This window comes from Homo sapiens, chromosome 13, assembly GCF_000001405.40.
Source record: "Homo sapiens chromosome 13, GRCh38.p14 Primary Assembly".
Classification (NCBI taxonomy): Eukaryota; Metazoa; Chordata; class Mammalia; order Primates; family Hominidae; genus Homo; species Homo sapiens.
Window position 1 is genome coordinate 95,348,210 of NC_000013.11, and position 21,156 is coordinate 95,369,365.

A 21,156-nucleotide genomic window follows, 5' to 3' on the forward strand; every position below is an offset into this window, starting at 1 on the left:
GCTAGGATTACAGGTGCATCACCATGCCCAGCTAATTTTTGTATTTTTAGTAGAGAGGGGGTTTCACCATGTTGGCCAGGCTGGTCTCAAACTCCTGACCTCAGGTGATCCACCCACCTCAGCCTCCCAAAGTGCTGGGATTACAGGTGTGAGCCACCACGCCCAACATTTTTGTTGTTTTAGTCACTTGGTGTGGAACCCATAGGAGGCCACACAAAGTGCTGAAAAGAATGAAAGAATGGAATTCTGGGATTTTAGTCTGGAGGGCAATGGTGCTTGCATAAACTTTGGAATTAACAAGAATACCCAGCTGACCAAGTTTTCCTCCATGGAAGAGAAGATGAAAACCTTCCCAAACTGGACAACAGCAAAGGTATGGGGAATACAGGCAGAAAGTTATATATAGTTGGGATCTCTGTCATCTGAATTGTCACTAACTCCAAACTTAGTGGCTGAGGGCCCTTCAAGTACAGCTCTTGCCTCACCTCCCAATAGAAGCCAGGTGAGTTTCATAGACCTACTTATTCCTTAAGTCTGAGTCTTAATCAGTTTCTTGAACTGCTCAAAGGCCAGATTCTTGAAGGAAATTCATCATTCTGGAGACCCACACTCACACTAAACCAAGGAGCTGATAGCATGAGAGCATGTTCCCTTTCAGACCCCCCACACTACTGATCTGTGCCCCAAGGAGTGCCCCACCACCATGATCTAGACATGAGACTTGCACGAATTGCTGGAGGAAAGGAGATGGATTTCATAGTGAGACCCTTCATGGGAATAAGCCTTCCCTAGTAGGAGGCTTAGCCAAGGGAGATGTGTAGAGATTCCACATGAAAAGAGCTGAAGGGGGGCCCTGAATTTGAAAACAAGGGCAAAAGGAGAGATTTTGGGAATAGAGAGTTCCCATGGAGGAAACTTTTTGCAAAAGGCCCAACTCTTTAAGTGATTTCTGTCTTGGAACTTGGGAAAAGACAAGTTGTCAAAAACTTTAGGCATTCCCCTCCTGCACTGCCCTTTTGAATTTATCCCAACTCACATAATTTTTAGATTTTTTTTTTAATTGAGATAGGGTCTCACTATGTAGCCCAGGCTGGTCATGCATATCCCAACCCTCCAGTTAACTACATTAGAATATCCCAGGCTATGTCCAGTCTGCTGTTGCTATTTGCTATTTCAGGAAAGCTGATAGGAAAGAATGATGAAGTGGGAAGGACGGCCAGCCTCCTCCCACCCCGTGGCATCCCCTCTATTGGCCTGGTAGGAAGGCAGCATCATCTTCTCAAGTGCACTATGACTCAGCAACATGGGTCTTGACCAACAGTCCTGTGAGGGATGACAGAGCTGGGGGGTGAAGGGAAAATTCCATACAATATCTAGGAGCTCTCCTTAGAGGTCAACTCAAAGACTCCAGTAAGAATGAATGAGGTTGGCCAGGTGCGGTGGGTCACGCCTGTAATCCCAACAGTTTGGGAGGCTGAGGCGGGCGAATCATGAGGTCAGGAGATTGAGACCATCCTGCCTAACACAGTGAAACCCCATCTCTACTAAAAATACAAAAAATTAGCCGGGTGTGGTGGTGGGCACCTGTAGTCCCAGCTACTCGGGAGGCTGAGGCAGGAGAATTGCTTGAACCCGGGAGGTGGAACTTGCAGTGAGCCAAGATTGCACCACTGCATTCCAGCCTGGGTGACAGAACGAGTCTCCATCTCAAAAAAAAAAAAAAGAAAAGAAAAAAAAAAGAATGAATGGGGTTGGCCAGGTTCAGTGGCTCACCCCTGTAATCCCAGCACTTTGGGAGGCCGAAGTGGGCAGATCACCTGAGGTCAGGAGTTCGAGACCAGCCTAGCCAACGTGGTGAAACCCAGTCTCTACTAAAAATGCAAAAATTAGCTGGGTGTGGTGGCCGGAGCCTGAGGTAGGAGGAGCTACTCAGGAGGCTGAGGTAGGAGAACTGGATGGAAGTTGCAGTGAGCTGAGATTGTGCCACTGCACTCCAGCCTGAGCGACAAAGTGACACTCTGTCTCAAAAAAAATAAATAGGCATGGGCAAGGACTTCATGTCTAAAACACCAAAAGCAATGGCAACAAAAGACAAAATTGACAAACGGGATCTAATTAAACTAAAGAGCTTCTGCAAAGCAAAAGAAACTACCATCAGAGTGAACAGGCAACCTACAAAATGGGAGAAAATTTTCGCAACCTACTCATCTGACAAAGGGCTAATATCCAGAATCTACAATGAACTCAAACAGATTTACAAGAAAAAAACAAACAACCCCATCAAAAACTGGGTGAAGGACATGAACAGACACTTCTCAAAAGAAGACATTTATGCAGCCAAAAGACACATGAAAAAATGCTCACCATCACTGGCCATCAGAGAAATGCAAATCAAAACCACAATGAGATACCATCTCACACCAGTTAGAATGGCAATCATTAAAAAGTCAGGAAACAACAGGTGCTGGAGAGGATGTGGAGAAATAGGGACACTTTTACACTGTTGGTGGGACTGTAAACTAGTTCAACCATTGTGGAAGTCAGTGTGGCGATTCCTCAGGGATCTAGAACTAGAAATACCATTTGACCCAGCCATCCCATTACTGGGTATATACCCAAAGGACTATAAATCATGCTGCTATAAAGACACATGCACACGTATGTTTATTGCAGCACTATTCACAATAGCAAAGACTTGGAACCAACCCAAATGTCCAACAATGATAGACTGGATTAAGAAATGTGGTACATATACACCATGGAATACTATGCAGCCATAAAAAATGATGAGTTCATGTCCTTTGCAAGGACACGGATGAAACTGGAAATCATCATTCTCAGTAAACTATCGCAAGGACAAAAAACCAAACACCGCATGTTCTCACTCATAGGTGGGAATTGAACAATGAGAAAACATGGACACAGGAAGGGGAACATCACACTCTGGGGACTGTTGTGGGGTCGGGGGAGGGGGTAGGGATAGCATTAGGAGATATATCTAATGCTAAATGATGAGTTAATGGGTGCAGCACACCAGCATGGCACATGTATACATATGTAACTAACCTGCACATTGTGCACATGTACCCTAAAACTTAAAGTATAATAATAATAAAATAAAATAAAATAAAATAAAATAAAATAAATAAATAAATAAAAGAAGAATGAATAAGGCACCTGTTACTACATAGCAATCCACCCTAAGACACAGGTGATTAAAAACAGTCATCGTTTACTTATTTATTATTTAGCACAATTGTGAAGGTCGATCGGGTAGCTCTGCCACTCGCCTCACGTGAATTCACTCCTACAGCTGCAGAAACCTGAGGGCTCAGCAAAAGCTGGGAGTCCACAGTGGTTTCACTCACATGTTCAGGCTTCAGGTAGGACAGCTGGAAGAGCTGAGATGGCCTTTCTTCCCAGGCTACTTCACAGCGTGGTGGTCAGGGAGAGATTCGGTGACGTAGTAACCTTTGAGCTGAGGTCTTCTGAGGGGTTCAAAGGCTGTTGTAAGTAGGCAAAAGGGGAGAGGCTGGTAAGAACGAGGGAACTTATTTACAAGAAGGAATCACATGAGTTGAGAACCCATGAGGTAGGAAGAAGTATGATGGTTTCTAGAAATAAAGGAATAGTCAGTTTGGCTACTACACACAAGAAAAGAGGGAGCGTGGAGGATGGATCGTGCATTTTCAAGGAACTATGGATTTTTTGTTTTAATTCTCATACTAACGTTACCAGAAAGGGGTCCCAATCCAGATCCCAAGGGAGGGTTCTTGGATCTCGCACAAGAAAGAATTCAAAGGAAAACCTCAGCAGAGATTAACTCAACAGTATCTGGGTAGATAGAGTGAAGTGAAAGGAAGCTTATTAAGAAAGAAAAGGAATGAAGAATGGCTACTCCACAGGCAGAGCAGCCCCAAGGGCTGCTGGTTGGCTAATTTTATGGTCAGTTCTTGATTATATCCTAAACAAGGCGGGGATTATTCATTCATAAGTTTTCTGGGAAAGGGATGGACAATTTCTGGAAACGAGGGTTCCCCCCTGTCAGATTATATAGGGTAACTTCCTGATGTTGTCATGGCATTTGTAAACTGCCATGGCGCTGGTGGGAGTGTCTTTTGGCATGCAAATCCATTATAATTAGTGTATAATGAGCAGTGAGGATGACCAGAGGTCACTTTTGTCACCATCTTGGATTTGGTGGGTTTTGGCCGGCTTCTTTACTGCATCTTTTATCAGCAAGGTCTTTGTGACCTGTACTTTGTGCCAACCTCCTGTCTCATCCTGTGACTAAGAATGCCTAACCTGGCAATGCAGCCCAGTAGGTGTCAGCCTTACTTTACCCAGCCCCGTTCAAGATGAAGTTGCTCTGGTTCAAACACCTCTGGCACCAAGAATAATAGGAAACCACTGAGAAGTTTTTTGTTTGTTTGTTTTAATATAGATGGTATTTTGCCATGTTGCTCAGGCTGGTCTCAAATTCCTGGGCTCAAGCAATCTGCTCACCTCAGCCTCCCAAAGTGCTGGGATTATAGGCATGAGTCATGGTGTCCAGCCTGAAAGGTTTTAAGTGTAGGGAAGTTTAAACTTTCCCTCTGAAGGCTCAAACAAACTGACAATAGGCAGCTAACAAGAAAAAAGGCATACAAATTTATTAAAGTGCCCATGAACACAAGAGACTCAAAGAAGGGCCAGGTAGTTGAGGCTTAAATAGCACCCTTTTCATAGGGGAAAGGGAGATGGAGGACATAGGTGATTGTGAGGGAATAATGAATGAGCCCAAAGAACAGAAAATGTCCTGGGACAAAGGTTTTCTGAGCTCTGAGGGAGGTTTCGGAAAGCTGAGGGGTGGAACTTCACTGAGAAAAAAGGTTGTCTTATTATGTAGATTAAGTCTCCCAGATAATGTCTTAGAGCTGCCCTCAGGAGAATAGATGAAGTCTGTTGGATATGGTGATGGTGATGACTTTTAGTCTTTTCTCTGGTGGTTAATCATTCCTGGCTATTTGATGAGTTTCCTAGGGAGGGGTTTTTTATTTATTTATTTTTTTTATTTTTACTTTTTTTGAGATGGAGTTTTGCTCTTCTTGGCCAGGCTGGAGTGCTGTGGCATGATCTTGGCTCACTGCAACCTCCGTCTCCCAGGTTCAAGCAATTCTCATGCCTCAGCCTCCTGAGTAGCTGGGATTACAGGTGTTCACCACCATGCCTGGCTAATTTTTGTATTTTTAGTAGAGATGGGGTTTCACCATGTTGGCCAGACTGGTCTCAAGCTCCTGACCTCAGGTGATCCACCCACCTGTCCTCCCTTAGTGCTGGGATTACAGGTGTGAGCCACTGATAATTGCATTTCTTTTGGAAGAAGCTTTCCTCAGTGTGATAAGGTAACTTCCAGGGAGAGCTCCTCCCTGCACCAGGGGGAGAGAAACAAGAGGTTAGAGAGGCCTTGATTCTGAGCAGCTTCTAAGGCCCTTGGATTTCCATTCATTTAAAAATGCTCAGCATGCCCAAGTATCATACTTTGGGGTATCATTCTCTGTGCCCTAACATAAGCAATAGAGTGACATGATCTGACTTACCCTTTCAGGAAACATCATGGTTCTATATATGAGGTATTGCAGGGGAACTAGAAGCAGAGCTTCTCAACCTCAGCACTACTGACATTCGGGGTTAGGTAATGCTTTACTGTGTGAGGTTGTCCTGCACACTGCAGCATGTTTACCAGCATTTCTGGCCTCTACTCAGTAGATGGCATTTGCACCTCTCCCCACTTAGTTGTGACAACCAAAAATGTGTCCAGGCTGGGCATGGTGGTTCACGCCAGTAATCCCAACACTTTGGGAGGCCGATGGAGGAAGATCACTTGACCCCAAAAGTTCAAGACCAGCCTGGACAACATACAGAGATCCTATCTCTACAAAAAGTAAAACAACCAAAAACCAAAAAACATTAGCCAGGCTTGGTGGTGCATACCTATAGTCCTAGCTACTCAGGAGGCTGAGGTGAGAGGATCGCTTAAGCCTAGTAGGTCAAGGCTGCAGGTGCCATGATCATACCACTGCACTCCTGCCTCGGTGACAGAGTGAGACCTTGTCTCTGAAAAAAATGAAAAAAGAAAAAAAATATGTCCAGACATTGGACATGTCCCCAGGGGGAGCCAAATTACCCCTGTTTGGGAACCATTGTGCTAGAGTGAATACAGGGCTTCTTTCTCACTATTACAGTCATCCAGGAGAGAAATAATGATTACTTGGACTTGAGTGGCCAAGGTGGAGCTGGGGATGAGCAGATAGGATTTGAGAGACAAGGTGATGAACTCAACAGTATCTGGGTGGACAGAGCCATCACGGCAGCCCTGTCCTCAACTCTCCTCTCTACTTTCTTCCTTCCACATTCTACCTGCTCTGAAAAAAGAATCCAGTCTAATTTGTGTTGAGAAATACTCATAGTCAGATGGCAAAAAGGATAACATGAGGAAGAGAGCTCATTTCCACCCTTCTGCTGTTGGTTGATACAATGTGCATGGAGGGTTAAACTCTGACCAAGGAATTGATTGAAGATCAGCGAGGCAGTGCGTTTCCAGGTTTATGTTTGAACAAGGGAAGTCTAGATATGTGAATAGCAAACCATGAGAGGTGACAACAGCAGAGGGAGGGTTCTGGAATGAAGTTATATGAGAGACTGCCAACAAACCTGGACCAATGAGGGCTGCAATTGTCCAGCCTCCCAACCCTCAGCCTGCCTGTCTGCAGAGACCAGCTTGTTCTCTTTCATTTCAGCAGTGCCCCCACTCCTTGGTTTTTACACAAAGAATAATAATTCCCTATCCCTTGCCTGCCTGTAAGGAAGCATTGTGAAGAATGGTGAATTCCCAACCCTAAAACACTTGGAATTCATTCAACAAAACATCCTGCCTTTATTTCATTACCTATAGAGTGCAGTTTTCTGTAAGAAAGGAAAGGTTGCATTTTTCGCTCCTATGAAGGAAAAATAGAAGCCATAGCCCCTTTCAAATCAAAGTTTTGTTCTTGAGTCAAAGGCACTCCTGAGGCTCCTGCCAAGTCCAATGAAAAGGCTTTGTTTGATTCTCTAAAGCTGTCAGGGTTCATAAAGGTCATCATTTCATTCACGCTGGGTTTGAGGACAGTGTTCTTTCTCTGCTTTTGACAAGCAGCTGGAATTGAAGGCTAAGTTTTCTTTTTGTTGCTACCTGGCCCTCTTTCCTTTTTTTCTGACTTAATGTATATCTAATCACCCAGAAGGTAGTCAGTCATGTTATGATCTATTTTACTTAAAAAGTGTCATAATTATATAAGTTCATGGCAATGTAAGCGTATCAAAACTCATAGAAAAATGACAGAAAACTGAAATCTAATTCCTTTCTTCAGGGTCAAAAAGCTGCTACCTTTCCACGGGCCTTCTAATTTCTCCCCTGGACAGAGGCATCCATGAATCATCATCACAAACCAGCCAGAACACAGTCAGAAAACAGTCAGCCCCACTCTCACTTAAGAGTGAGCAGAAGCCTCCTTTATACAGGAAATTCCAGTCAATAAACGTAGAGGCGGAGCTGGGGACACGCAAATGGGATTCAGAGACAAGGAGATGAACTCAAAAGTATCTGGAAAGAAACTTAAAACCCCTTGTGGCAAATACCACCATAATAATAGTTGCAGGCGGCTGAGTGTGGTGGCTTATGCTTATAATCCCAGCACTTTGGGAGGACGAGGCAGGAGGATCACTTGAGCTCAGGAGTTCCAGACAAGCCTGGACAACATGGTGAAAACTCATCTCTACAAAAATTAGCCAGGCATGGTAGCATATGTCTATAGTCTCAACTACTTAGGGGGCTGACATTAGCCATGATTGTACCACTGCACTCCAGCCTGGGCAACAGAGCAAGACCCTGTCTCAAAATAATAAAAATAATAATAGTTGCTAGCAAGAGTAAATGGCAAAATTATTAGTAAGCAAAAGCATGAAGGCAAACAGGATATTTGCATAGACTCAAAGTATACTCCGATAAGAGTCTTCCTAAATTCAAAGGGAAAATAGTAAATTTACAGTGGAGAAATGTGTGATGGAGTTAATATCACCAGTATTGAAACATATCTACATCATGTATCTCCTAATATGATATACTGACAAGGACACAATATCATGTCTGTGGTATTCTGGCCAAAAACCCATAACCTTGAATTTTTTCTTTTTTTTTGAGACTGTTTCATTTCTTGTTGCCCAGGCTGGAGTGCAGGGTGTGATCTTGGCTCACTGCAACCTCCACCTCCCAGATTCAAGTGATTCTCCTGCCTTAGCCTCCCAAGTAGCTGGGACTACAGGCGCCTGCCACCACACCCAGCTACTTTTTTTGTATTTTTAGTAAAGACAGGATTTCATCGTGTTAGCCAGGATGGTCTCGATCTCCTGAACTCATGATCCGCCTGCCTTGGCCTCCCAAAGTGCTGGGATTACAGGCATGAGCCACCACGCCCGGCCGGCACCCAGGTTCTTGTCTGGCATCCAGGAAGAATCAGGTCACACAAACAGATTGAAGGGTAGTGTATGTGGAGTATTTTATTTGACGATGGAAGTGGCTGTCAGTGGGATAGGAGTTGGAAAGGGGATGGTGCAGGAAGGTGATCTTTCCCTGAAGCTGCACCATCTGAGGTTAGCGGTGTCTATCCACAGTCTCCAAGGTTCAGTTGCTTCTCTGCTCGCCACTCAGCTGCTTGTGTTGCTCTGCCAGCTGAAGTCTTTTTATGGGCACAGGATAGGGGCATGGCAGGCCAAAAAGTAAACATTTGGATAGAAAAGTAAGGATCAGCTCTTTTCACTTAGGGCTGCAGTTCCAGGCTTAAGGGTGGGGTTTAGCCAGGAGCCCAGCTATTTTGATATCTATTGGTATCAAAAGGTCAAACCAAGCACTTGGATCTCTCAAGTCAGCTGCTTGGCCCTCTTCCAAGGGTACTTTACTTCCTTTTGTTCCTGCTCTAAAACTTTTTAATAGAACTTTACTCCTGCTCTGAAACTTGCCTCAGTCTCTCACTCTGCCTTATGCCCCTCAGATGAATTCTTTCCTCTGAAGGGGCAAAAATCGAGTTACTGCAGACCCGTATGCCGCAGACCCGCTGCTAACACTGGACTCAAGTTATCCTACTGCCTCCCAAAGTGCTGGGATTACAGGTGTTGCAACTGCCCAGTGGGTTCACCTTGCCCAGTGCCTAGACAGAGTCAATTTATCAGTACAGGGGAATTGCAATATAGAAAGAGTAATCACATAGAGCCAACTGGATGAGAGACCAGAGTTTATAATTACTCAAATCAGTCTCCCCGAGCATTTGGGGACTGGAGTTTTTAAAGATAATTTGCTGGGTAGGGGCCAGTGAGTTGAGATTTGCTGATTGCTTGAGTTGGAGATAAAATCATAGGGAGTCAAAACTGTCCTCTTGTGCTGAGTCAGTTTCTGGGTGGGGGCCACAAGACCAAATGAGCCAGTTTCTTGATCTGGGTGATGTCGGCTGATCCATCAAGTGCAGGGTCTGCAAAATATCTCAAGCACTGATCTTAGGTTTTACAATAGTGAGGTTATCTTCAGGAGCAATTTGGGGAGGGTCAGAATCTTGTAGCCTTTGGCTACATAACTCCTAAACCATAATTTCTAATCTTCTGTCTAATTTGTTAGTCCTACAAAGGCCAAACTGGTCCATAGGCAAGAAGGGGGTTTGTTTCAGGAACGGGCTGTTATCTCTTTGTTTCAAACTATAAACTAAGTTCCCCACAAAGTTTGTTCAGCCTACACCCAAGAATGAACAAGGACAGCTTAGAGGTTAGAAGCAAGATGGAGTTGGTTAGGTCAGATCTCTTTCACTGTCTCAGTTATGATTTTGCAATGGCAGTTTCAGTGTGAGCCACCAAGCCCAGCCTAGACTCTTTCTTTACTGCGGTGCTGAGGTCTCAGTGAATTCATTTTGTCTGTGCAGTCGGCAGGAAGAATCCATTCGGTGATTACACAAAGGAAACCCTCACAAGACCAACAGAGCAAAATCTAATTCCTCCAGTTGTGGAAAATTAGGAGAGACCCCTAAGTGTCAGGATCTGTCCTTAGGGAGGTTCAAAGACCTGCCTCCTCAGTCATGTGTGACTGCCTTTCCACCACCTCTCCCTGTTTTTGTCCTGGTAAAACCAAAGACAATCCCAGGAGTGCCTTGGAGACTATGCAAGAAGGCAACTTAAAGGATAATGAAAAAGAAAGAGAGCTGGCCCACATTTTGCCTGGGTGATTATGGAGGGCTTTATGAAATCATTGATCGTAATAAGGGTCCTAGAGAAAGTGACCACACTGGGTCCCACCAGTGGGGTGGGAGTGAGGGTGTTGTTGGGGCCCAGGACATACCACCCCGAAATACCCAAACTATTCCTCTTTGGCATATTATTAGCCTGCTTGGCTTGTTGTCTTTTTTTTTTTTTTTTTTAGAAACTGCAGACAAATGAGCAGCTCTGAAAACCTGCCCTTTTGTAAAGGAAATTTACATCTATGAAGGAAATTTTCATTAGTAAATGTGCCTGTACCACGAAGAAAGCTGTTCCAGGCAACTTTTGACACCTGAAAGACTTTTATCTGCCTAACAAGGCAAATTTTATTTACCATACATTTCTCCTCCTGCTCTCCCATAATTTGTTAACCCTGCCCACCTCCCATCAGAAGCCCCAGGCCACTGTTCCTGTTTGTAGCTCAGGATGTTATATAAGCTTCAGTCATCTGGCCCTTCAGTCATTTTTGTGGGGTTCCCATGCAAGTACATATAATAAAATGACTTTTCTTTTTCATATTTTTTTTGAGGCAGGGTCTCACTTTGTCACCCAGACAGTAGTGCAGTGGTGCGATCACAGCTCATTGTAGCCTTGATCTTCTGGGCTCAAGCGATCCTCCTGCCTTTTTTTTGTTTTTTTTTGTTTTTTTTTGTTTTTTTTAGAGATGAGGTCTCATTATGTTGCCTAGGTTGGTCTCGAACTCCTGAGCTCAAGCTGTTTTTCCCACCTTGGTGTCCAAATGCTGGAATTATAGGCATAAGCCACCGTGCCCAGCTACAATATTTTTTCTCCTGTTAATCTGTCTCATGTCAATTTAATTTGTAGCCCAGTCAAAAGTCCTAGGAAGGTGGATGAAAGCCATTTTTCCCTCTCCCCTGCCAGTGTGGTGGGAGGGGAGGTTGACCTGGGCCTGAAGGGTCCCCAGGAAGGGCAGAGAACACAGTGGAAGACACTGATCACTAACCCCAGATCTAAAGCATTGAGGGACAAAGGCCATTGCTTTGTTTCCTGCACAGGGTACTGCATTGGAAGTTTGTCCTCTCTTTGTTTTTTTTTTTTTTTTTTTTTTGAGACAGGGTCTTACTCTGTTGTCCAGACCAGAGTGCATGGAGTATAGTGATGCGATCATAGCTCACTGCAGTCTTGACCTCCTGGGCTCAGGCAATCCTCCTCCCTCAGTCTCCCAAGTAGCTGGGACTGCAGGCACATGCCACCACACCTGGCTGTTTTTTTTTTATTTTTGTAGAGATGGGGTCTCACTATACTCTCCAGGATGGTCTTAAACTCCTAGGCTCAAGCAAACTTCCTGCTTTGGCCTGTCAAAGTGCTGGGTTTACAGGTAAGAGAGCCATCATGCCTGGCCCAAGGAAAGTTTGCCCTTTTGTGAGGGAGGATCTAGGTCCACAAGCTTTGTCTGCATGAAGACAGGGATTTGGAATGTAGCATAGTAAGATGGTATAATGCACATGGTGTGCTGGCCCAGTCATTTGTACCTCTGTTTATGTCCTAGAGGGTAGCATTGACCTGAAAGAAAAGCACTGCATTTCTTCAAAGCATGGGCAGCAACTCTGGACTGAGTGTCTAATGTATTGTTACTGGTAAGGAGGTCCCAATCCAGGCCCCACTGGAGGGCTCTTGGATGTCGCACAAGAAAGAATTCAGGGCAAGGCCATAGTAAAGTGAAATAATGCAGCAAAGGAGTGAAAGAATAGCTACTCCATAGACAGAATAGGGTGTTCCTGACAGTAAGAGGAGGAATGCACCCACCCTGGGTGCAATGCTTGTTTACATATAAGATAACAAACAAATCATGGGGAGATGTGCTGACTACAAGGTTCATGATAAAGGATTAATCTTTGTAATTACCACCTTTCCGAAGAATCGATATTATTATCTTTAAACTTATTCTTGGACTAGGAATGCTTTTGTTCTTGAGATATGGGGACATCAGGACCTTTCTGGGTCTGTTAAGTCCTGTGTCTGTTTGGTAAACATTATTAATTTGTTTCTTAACCATAAACAGCTTGTGACTAAGAATGCCTAACCTTCTGGGAATACAGCCCAGCATGTCTCAGCCTCGTTTTTCTCAGCCCCTATTCAAGATAGAGTCACTCTGGCTGAAGCATTTCTGACAGTATTAATAGGAGGGTGCCTCCCCCCATCCCTGTGTGAGTTTTTCCTAAAGCTGAGCTGGAAGGACAACAAACACAGTTTCCACCTCAAGTGGCAAGATACCATCACAACACCCCCGGGAGATACATGCTGTCAGCAGGTGACTGCTTGACTACAGTTAAACTACTTCTGCAAAATTTATCGGAGTGAGAAAATTATGACAGCAAAAGGGATCTGACCTGACTCACTCCATCTTGCTTTTCTTTTCTTTCTTTCTTTTTTTTTTGGAGACAGAATTTTGCTCTTATTACCCAGGCTGGAGTGCAATGGCACGATCTTGGCTCACCGCAACCTCTGCCTCCCGGGTTCAAGCGATTCTCCTGCCTCAGCCTCTGGAGTAGGTGAGATTACAGGAAAGTGCCACCACGCCTGGCTAATTTTTTTGTATTTTTAGTAGAGACGGAGTTTCCCTGTGTTGGTCAGGCTGGTCTCAAACTTCCCACCTCAGGTGATCCGCCCGTCTCAGCCTCCCAAAGTGCTGGGATTACAGGCGTGAGCCACTGTACCCGGGCTTTTTGTTTTGTTTTGTTTAGTTTTTGAGACAGAGTGTTGCTCTGTCGCCCAAGCTGGAGTGCAATGGCACAATCTTGGCTCACCACAACCTCCACCTCCCAGATTCAAGCAATCCTCTTGCCTCAGCCTCCGAAGTAGCACCTGCCACCACGCCCAGATAATTTTTGTATTTTTAGTAGAAACGGTGTTTCACCATGTTGGTCAGGCTAGTCTCAAACTCCTGACCTCAGATGATCCACCAGCCTTGGAACTCCCAAAGTGCTGGGATTACAGGCATGAGACACCACACCCGGCCTCCATCTTGCTTCTAACCTCCAAGCTGCCCTCGTTCATTGATGTAGGCCAAACTAACTTTAGGAGGAACTTAGTTTACAGTTTAACTTTGAAACAAATACTGACACAGAAGGTAGAAAGAAATTATATGGGCAAATAGTGAAGGCAACAGAGTCCTCAGCAGAACTTCTCTTCTGACAAAAGCAGCCCCCAAATCATTTATTTTCTAACAAAGAGCAGCCTGAAAAATCGAGCTGCAGACATAGATAAGGAAGCTAGAAGCTTGTGTGGGCAAATGCCAGCAACTGTGCCAATAGAAAAGGGCTATCTGGGGGCCAGGCATGTCCAACATCGAGGCTTCATCTTCCTTTTTTTTGTTACCACATGTGCAGTAATAGAGAAAAGGGCAACATGGCACAGCTCAGGCAGAGAACCTGCCTGCATAAAAAAGATTAGGGTGGGGATACAAGAAATTCACGCCCTATGCAAATGGCATAACCAGTTTTTTGTGCCCTATGTAAATCAGGCACCACCTCCTCACAAGCTTATCTATAAACCCCCCTGCATTTCACAATGGATTTGGCTACCCATTTTTCCAGGACCCTTCTCTGCAGCAGAGAGCTCTTCTCTTTCTTTTTCTTTTTAAACTTCTGCTCTTAACCTCACTTTTTTGTACCCATGTCCTCGTTCTCCATGACCATGGGACAACAAACCTTGGGTATTACTCCAGACAACAAGGCCATTTCAATATGATAACAGCCCTTTCCCAAAGCAAACCCCTTTCTTGCCTGAGGACCAGACTGCCTTTGTAGGACTAACGAATTAGACACAAGATTAGAAATTATAGTTTAGGAGTTGCCCAGGTGCAGTGGCTCACATCTGCAATCCCAGCACTTTGGGAGGCCGAGGCAGGTGGATCACAAGGTCAGGAGATGGAGACCATCCTGGCCAACATGGTGCAACCCCGTCTCTACTAAAAATACAAAAATTAGCCAAGCATGGTGGCATGCACCTGTAGTCCCAGCTACTTGGGAAGCTGAGGCAGGAGAATTGCTTGAACCTGGGAGATGGAGGTTGCAGTGAGCTGATATCATGCCACTGCACTCCAACTTGGGCAACAGAGCAAGACTCCATCTCAAAAAAAAAAAAAAATCATAGTTTAGGAGTCATGCAGCCCCAGAGGCCACAAGATTCCAAACTTCCCCCATTGCTCCTAGGGATAATCTCACTACTGTAAAGTCTAAGATCAGTGCTTGAGATATTTTCCTGACCTTGAATTCTGATGCACCAACTGACACCATCCAGTCCCGTAATCTGGATCAACCAGTTCTGCCATCCCACCCGGGGACAGAAGACAGCAATAAGTACCCACTTTGACTCCGTATAACTTTATCTCCGACCTGACCAATCAGCACTCCCCACTCCCTGTCCAAATTATCATTTAAAAACTCCAGTCTCATAGGAAATGGATGGCTCAGTATTATAAAAATTAAAAAATGAGAAATGAAGAAAATTTTAATCATTTAAAAAAACTTAAAAAGTATGACTGGGCATGGTGGCTCACGTCTGTAATCCCAGCACTTTGGGAGGCTAAGGTGGGCAGATTGCGAGGTCAGGAGGTTGAGACCATCCTGGCTAACACAGTGAAACCCCGTCTCTACTAAAAACACAAAAAAATTAGTCAGGCGTGGTGGTGGGCGCCTGTAGTCCCAGCTACTCAGGAGGCTGAGGCAGGAGAATTGTTTGAACCCGGGAGGCAGAGGTTGCAGTGAGCCAAGACTGCACCACTGCACTCCAGCCTGGGCAACAGAGCAAGACTCCATCTCAGAAAAAATAAAATAAAATAAATAAAATAAATTTAAAAAACAAAAACCCCAGTCTCTGAATTTTGGGGGAGACTGATTTGAGTAATAAAACTCCAGTCTCCTGTTTAGCTGGCTCTGCGTGAATTAAACTTTTTCTCTATTGCAGTACCCCTGTCTTGATAAATTGGCTCTATCTGGACTATAGGCAAGGAGAACCTGTTGAACAGTTACAACCGGAGGAGAGCCAAGGCTACTCATGAGCACGGGTGATGCTGTTCAGGAACAGCCTTGGAAACTTGGAGGACAGAGGGATTTCATTGATGTTCAGAAGGAAGCTGGGCAAGGGACTCATAGATGGTCTCCCATGAGTCCCTGGCACATGGAGACCACTAGTGGGTCTCCATGACCTTACTTCACCCCTAAGCTAAAGTGGCTGGACAAACAGCTTCCTTGGCTAAGTGAGCCTTGGGTTCCCAGCTCCATTTCCCCTTTCTCAGTTTCATTATCTGTCTCTACAACAGCACCCACAGTTCAATGACAACAGGGACCCCAGCTTTTGCTACTGGAGGAACAGCTCATGGAAGTGTGCAAGGGAACATATTTTCTTTCTTTCTTTTTTTTTTTTTTTTGAGATGGAGTCTCGCTCTGTCACCCAGGCTGGAGTGCAATGGCGCAACTTCGGCTCACTGCAACATCTGCCTCCCAGGTTCAAGTGATTCTCCTACCTCAGCCTCCTGAGTAGCTGGGATTACAGGTGCCCAGCTAATTTTTGTATTTTTAGTAGAGACAGGGTTTCACCATTTGGTCAGGCTGGTCTTGAACTCTTGACCTCGTGATCACCCGCCTCAGCCTCCCAAAATGCTGGGATTACAGGCATGAGCCACTCACTGTGCCTGGCACAAGGGAAGATACTTCTAGAGCAGATCCTGGCCTCAGGCTTTTGATTACCCCTAAACTACAGGATACTTATTGGAATCCCAACTGTGAGGACAAGAACATGTGGTTATCTTGCTAGAAGATGCAACTATAGTTTTTTTAAATTTAATTAATTTTTTTGAGACAGGGTCTTGCTCTGTTGCCCAGGCAGGAGCACAGTGGCATGAACACAACTCACTGCAGCCTCGACTTCCTGGGCCCAAGTAATCCTCCTGCCTTAGTCTTGCCACCTCAACCTGTGTAGTTGGGATCACAGGCACAAGCCGCCATGCCTGGCTAACTTTTTGATTTTTTTGTAGAGATGGGGTCTCACTTTGTTGCCCAGGCTGCTCTCAACCTGAGCTCAAGCAATCCTCCCACCTTGGCCTCCCAGAGTGCTGGGGTTATAGGTACGAGCCATTGTGTCCGACCTAACAACTATGATTTCTTTAGGACGTCAGAATTTACATAATGAGGAGAATGTTGGATATTCACTTTGGCATTATAGGCTTCTCAAACCCCTGAACTTGTTTTCCTACCACTAATTGGAGGCCATTCTGTTTTTTGTTTTTTTTTTGTAGGAAAAGAGTCTCACTATGTTGCTCAAGCTAGTCTCTAATTCCAGGCCTCCCAAATTGGTGAGATTACAGATATGAACCACCACACCCAGCCAGGAGGCCATTCTTGACAGCCCTCCCTTTATTTTTCTTTCTAGCTGAGATTCTAAAGTAGTCATCTTTGACACATACCTTTCCCTTCCCTAATTTAGTCAAGCAAATATTCTGTTTATTTCCCCTTTGCAAATCTTTTTATTTTTATTGATTTTTAAAAATAATTTTTAATTAATTTTATTTTTATAGAGATGGGGTCTCGCCATATTGCCCAGGCTGGTTTCAAACTCCTGGTCTCAAGCAATCCTCCCCCCTCGGCCTCCCAAAATTCTAGGATCACAGGTGTGAGCCACTGTGCCCTGACTCTCTTTGCAAATCTTTTCAACTTCGATGTTAAAACTAAAAGAAAACATAAGATTCAGTTCCTGTGATCAAGTTGTTACTGAGTTCTGAGCTACATGTAAAGATGGAATAGTCTGTGTGTGGTAGCACACACCTGCAGTCCCAGGTACTCAAGAGGCTGAAGTGGGAGGATCACTTGAGCCCAGGAGCTGGAGACCAGCCTGGGCAATATAGCAAGTCCCCGTCTCTTAAACAAAACAAAACAAAACAAAACACCTGTATGGTTTTGGTAAAATAAACTGCAAGTGTGTTGGTTGAACAGTTTTCATTTTTGCTTGGCTTGATTTTATGTATTTATTCATTCATTCATGTATTAATCCTCACTAAAACTCATCTTTACTAATTTAGCTCTGCAATTCCAGTCTTAGAACCTCCCATGAAGCTCAAAGGAAGATATAGGAAGAGGTGAGGATGTTGGAAGTGGACGGGTAGTTCTCAACTTGGGGCCCCAATTTTGCTCTAAGGCAAAAAACACAGGCCCTAGCAAAGAAAAAAGTCACTGTGCCTGGGGATGATTGTTCAGATGGTAAAGGAGGCCCTCAAGAGTGGTCGAATCAGTATATTCAGAAGGCAGTGCTAGAGTCAGCCTCATGAACCAGGGGACTTCTTTTTTTGGCATCCAAGTCCTTTTGAATTTCTTCAAGTTCCTTTTTTTTTTTTTGAGATGGAGTTTCAAAAATTTATTGTTAATCTCCTTTTATGTACCAGGCTCTGCTGTAGATGGCAAACAAAACAAGGCAAAGTCATACCTCCTACAGAACTCATGTTCTAGTGGAGAGATAAAATATTGTCAATAAAAATATTGTCACCCAGACTGGGGTGCAATGGCGTGATGTCGGTTCACCGCAACCTCTGCCTCCCGGGTTCAAGCAATTATCCTGCCTCAGCCTCCCGAGTAGCTGGGATTATAGGCATGCACCACCATGCCCAGCTAATTTTGTATTTTTAGTAGAGACGGGGTTTTTTTCCATGTTGGTCAGGCTGGTCTCGAACTCCCGACCTCAGGTGATCCGCCCGCCTCTGCCTCCCAAAGTGCTGGGATTACAGGTGTGAGCCATCGTGCCTGGCCGAATTTCTTCAAGTTCTTTAGCCTGATATGGTATGTCATAGTTCTGAGCCAGATGCATTCCAACCACATTGTCCAAAGTAAATCCAAACGGGAACCAGAACATGATGTTGGGGGGCAGGCAAAGAGGGCGCAAAGGGCAGCTGGTTTATATTTTGATGGGATGCTACCAGTTACGCTTTTTTTTTTTTTTTTGAGATAGAGTTTCACTCTTGTGGCCCAAGCTGGAGTGCAATGGCACGATCTTGGTTGGCTGCAACCTCTGCCTTCCGGGTCCAAGCGATTCTCCTGCCTCAGCCTACCGAGTAGCTGGGATTACAGGCATGCGCCACTACGCCCAGCTAATATTTTGTATTTTTAGTGGAAATGGGGTTTCACCATGTTAGCCAGGCTGGTCTTGAACTCCTGATCTCAGGTGATCCACCCACCTCGGCTTCCCAAAGTGCTGGGATTACAGGCGTGAGCCACTGCGCCCAGCCGAGATGCTACCAGTCATTCTTTTTTGTTTTTTGTTTTTTGTTTTTTGAGAGACAGTTTCACTCTTGTTGCCCAGACTGGAGTGCAATGGCGTGATCTCCGCTCACCGCAACCTCTGCCTCCCGGGTTCAAGCGATTCTCCCGCCTCAGCCTCGCGAGTAGCTGGGATTACAGGCATGTGTTACCATGCTCGGCTAATTTTGTACTTTTAATAGAGATGGGGTTTCTCCATGTTGGTCAGGCTGGTCTCGAACTCCCGACTTCAGGTGATCCACACAACTCGGCCTCCCAAAGTGCTGGGATTATAGGCGTGAGCCACCGTGCCCAGCCAACGCTACCAGTCATCCTTAAGGAAGTACTCTTCCAAAACTGTAACTGCCCAATGGGTTCACCCTGCCCACTGCCTATGTTACCAGTGGAAGATATCCGAGTTACCCCGAGTTACCAGCAGTGTATCATATGGGTCTGCAGCAACTTCAATTCTTGGCTCCTCAGAAGAAAGAATTTGACTGAGAGGAATAAAACAGAAAAAGAGACCAAGGCAAGTTTCAGAGCAGGAGTAGAAGTTTATTTTAAAAGGCTTTAGAACAGGAAAGAAAGGAAAGTTCACTTGGAAGAGATCCAAGACGCGCCTGAAGGTCAAAAAGAGCATTTAACATTAATTCCAGGACTTCATAGGCTCACCTCTTTACCATGGTTCTTCCCTTAGTGGGCACTTCCTGCTTGCACAGCGCTCCCTTTACCCTGGGGAATTGAGCATGTGCAGTGTGTTTAGGAGGGTATACTCATGCCATCTGAGGCTCTCTTCCCTTTTCTGGTGAAGTATCCCCGGAAGGCCATATTTTGTCATTTTATCTCTTAGTGTGCATGCCCAGGAAGTTTCTTCTCCCGGGCATCTGCATTCAATTAACACTTTAATGTTAACAGCTGTGGATCATCAGGAGACCGTCTCTCCCAGGTGCCCTGGCACCACTGCAGAGTTATCATTTTTAGAAAGACAGTGTGATAATTGTCTAATCACCTGACCTTCCTAGTGGATGGGAAGAGAGCCCTCTCCTGCCTGGCTCATGCCTATCTAACTACCTGTAACAACTAGACAGAGATGATTTATCAAGACAGGGGAATTGCAATAGTTCACGAGATTCTCCTGACTCAGCCTCCCAAGTAGCTGGGATTACAGGCACTGGCCACCAAGCCTGGCTAATTTTTGTAATTTTAGTAGAGATGGGGTTTCACCATGTTGGCCAGGCTGATATTGAACTCCTGACCTCAGGTGATCCACCCACCTTGGCCTCTCAAAGTGCTGGAATTACAGGCATGAGTCACCACACCCGCTCCCAGAGCTAGGATTTGGACCAGAATCTGGCTTCAGAATTTGTGCTTTTGGGCCAGGCGCGGTGGCTCACGCCTGTAATCCCAGCACTTTGGGAGGCTGAGGCAGGCAGATCGCGAGGTCAGGGGCTCAAGACCAGCCTGAGCAACATGGTGAAACCCCATCTCTACTAAAAATACAAAAATTAGCCAAGCATGGTGGTGGTGTAATCCCAGCTACTCAGGAAGCTGAGGCAGGAAAATCACTTGAACCTGGGAGGCAGAGGTTGCAGTGAGCCCAGATTGTGTCATTGCACTCCAGCCTGGTGACAGAGCAAGACTCTGTGTCAAAAAAAAAAAAAAAAAAAAAAAGATTTGTGCTCTTACACACACACGTCACAGAGTATGAATTAATACTTTTTTTTTTTTTTTTTTTTTGGAGACAGACTCTTACTTTGTGGCACAGGCTGGAGTGCAGTGGCATAATCATGGCTCCCTACAGCCTCAAGCTCCCAGGCTCAAGTGATCCCACTTGAGCACCTTAGCCTCCCTAGTAGCTGGGACCACAGGTGCACACCAATACACTCGGCTAATTTTTTATTTTTTGTAGAGACAGGGTCTCCCTGTGTTTCCCAGGCTGGTCTTGAACTCCTGGGCTTAAGTGGTCCTTGAAACTGGACCTCCCAAAATGTTAGGATTACAGGTGTGAGCCACCATGTCTGGCCCTTAATATATATTTTTTCTTTTTTTTTCCCCTTGTGTTTTTTTCTTTATTTTTTGTTATCTTTTTTTTAATAGTCATTTTAAAATATTTTCTCTAGGTTGGATTTAGTTTTGCCATTTGTAGTTTTCTGGTATGGGTGCAGAAGCAACAGAATTCTTCCCTGAATTTCCTGCAAAGATGATTTGGCATCATGGAGAACAGGATGGACATACTCTGTGGTCAAACAATCCTATTTTTTTCGTTGAACTAGCTCTGTGAATTCTAGCAGAATTCTAGCCAATAAATGAACTTCATCTTAATCATCAAATTGCTCCAATTTTGAGTCGTAACCATATGCACACAGCAAGTCAATATGCTGAGACATTGGGTTGCAGCAGAGAAAGGGTAATCATAAGTTCACCAAACGGGGATGTGTTAGTCAGTTCTCACACTGCTATAAAGAACTACCTGAGACTGGGTAATTTTTGAATAAAAGAGGTTTAGTTGACTCAGTTCTGCAGGCTTAACAGGAAGCATGACTGAGAGGCCTCAGGAAATTTACAATCATGGTGGAAGGAGGAGAGGAGGCAAGCACCT

The 21,156-nt window shown here is 44.9% G+C and overlaps 1 long non-coding RNA gene across 1 annotated transcript in view; it reads right to left on the minus strand.

The window, feature by feature from the left end:
• Positions 1–3,212: 3,212 nt before the first annotated feature.
• LOC124903193 (uncharacterized) overlaps positions 3,213–21,156 on the minus strand; it is a 53,667-nt gene continuing 35,723 nt past the window's right edge. Inside the window, exon 2 of the long non-coding RNA XR_007063839.1 lies at positions 3,213–3,504. This is a non-coding gene — a long non-coding RNA (uncharacterized LOC124903193). The remainder of the gene's footprint in view (positions 3,505–21,156) is intronic.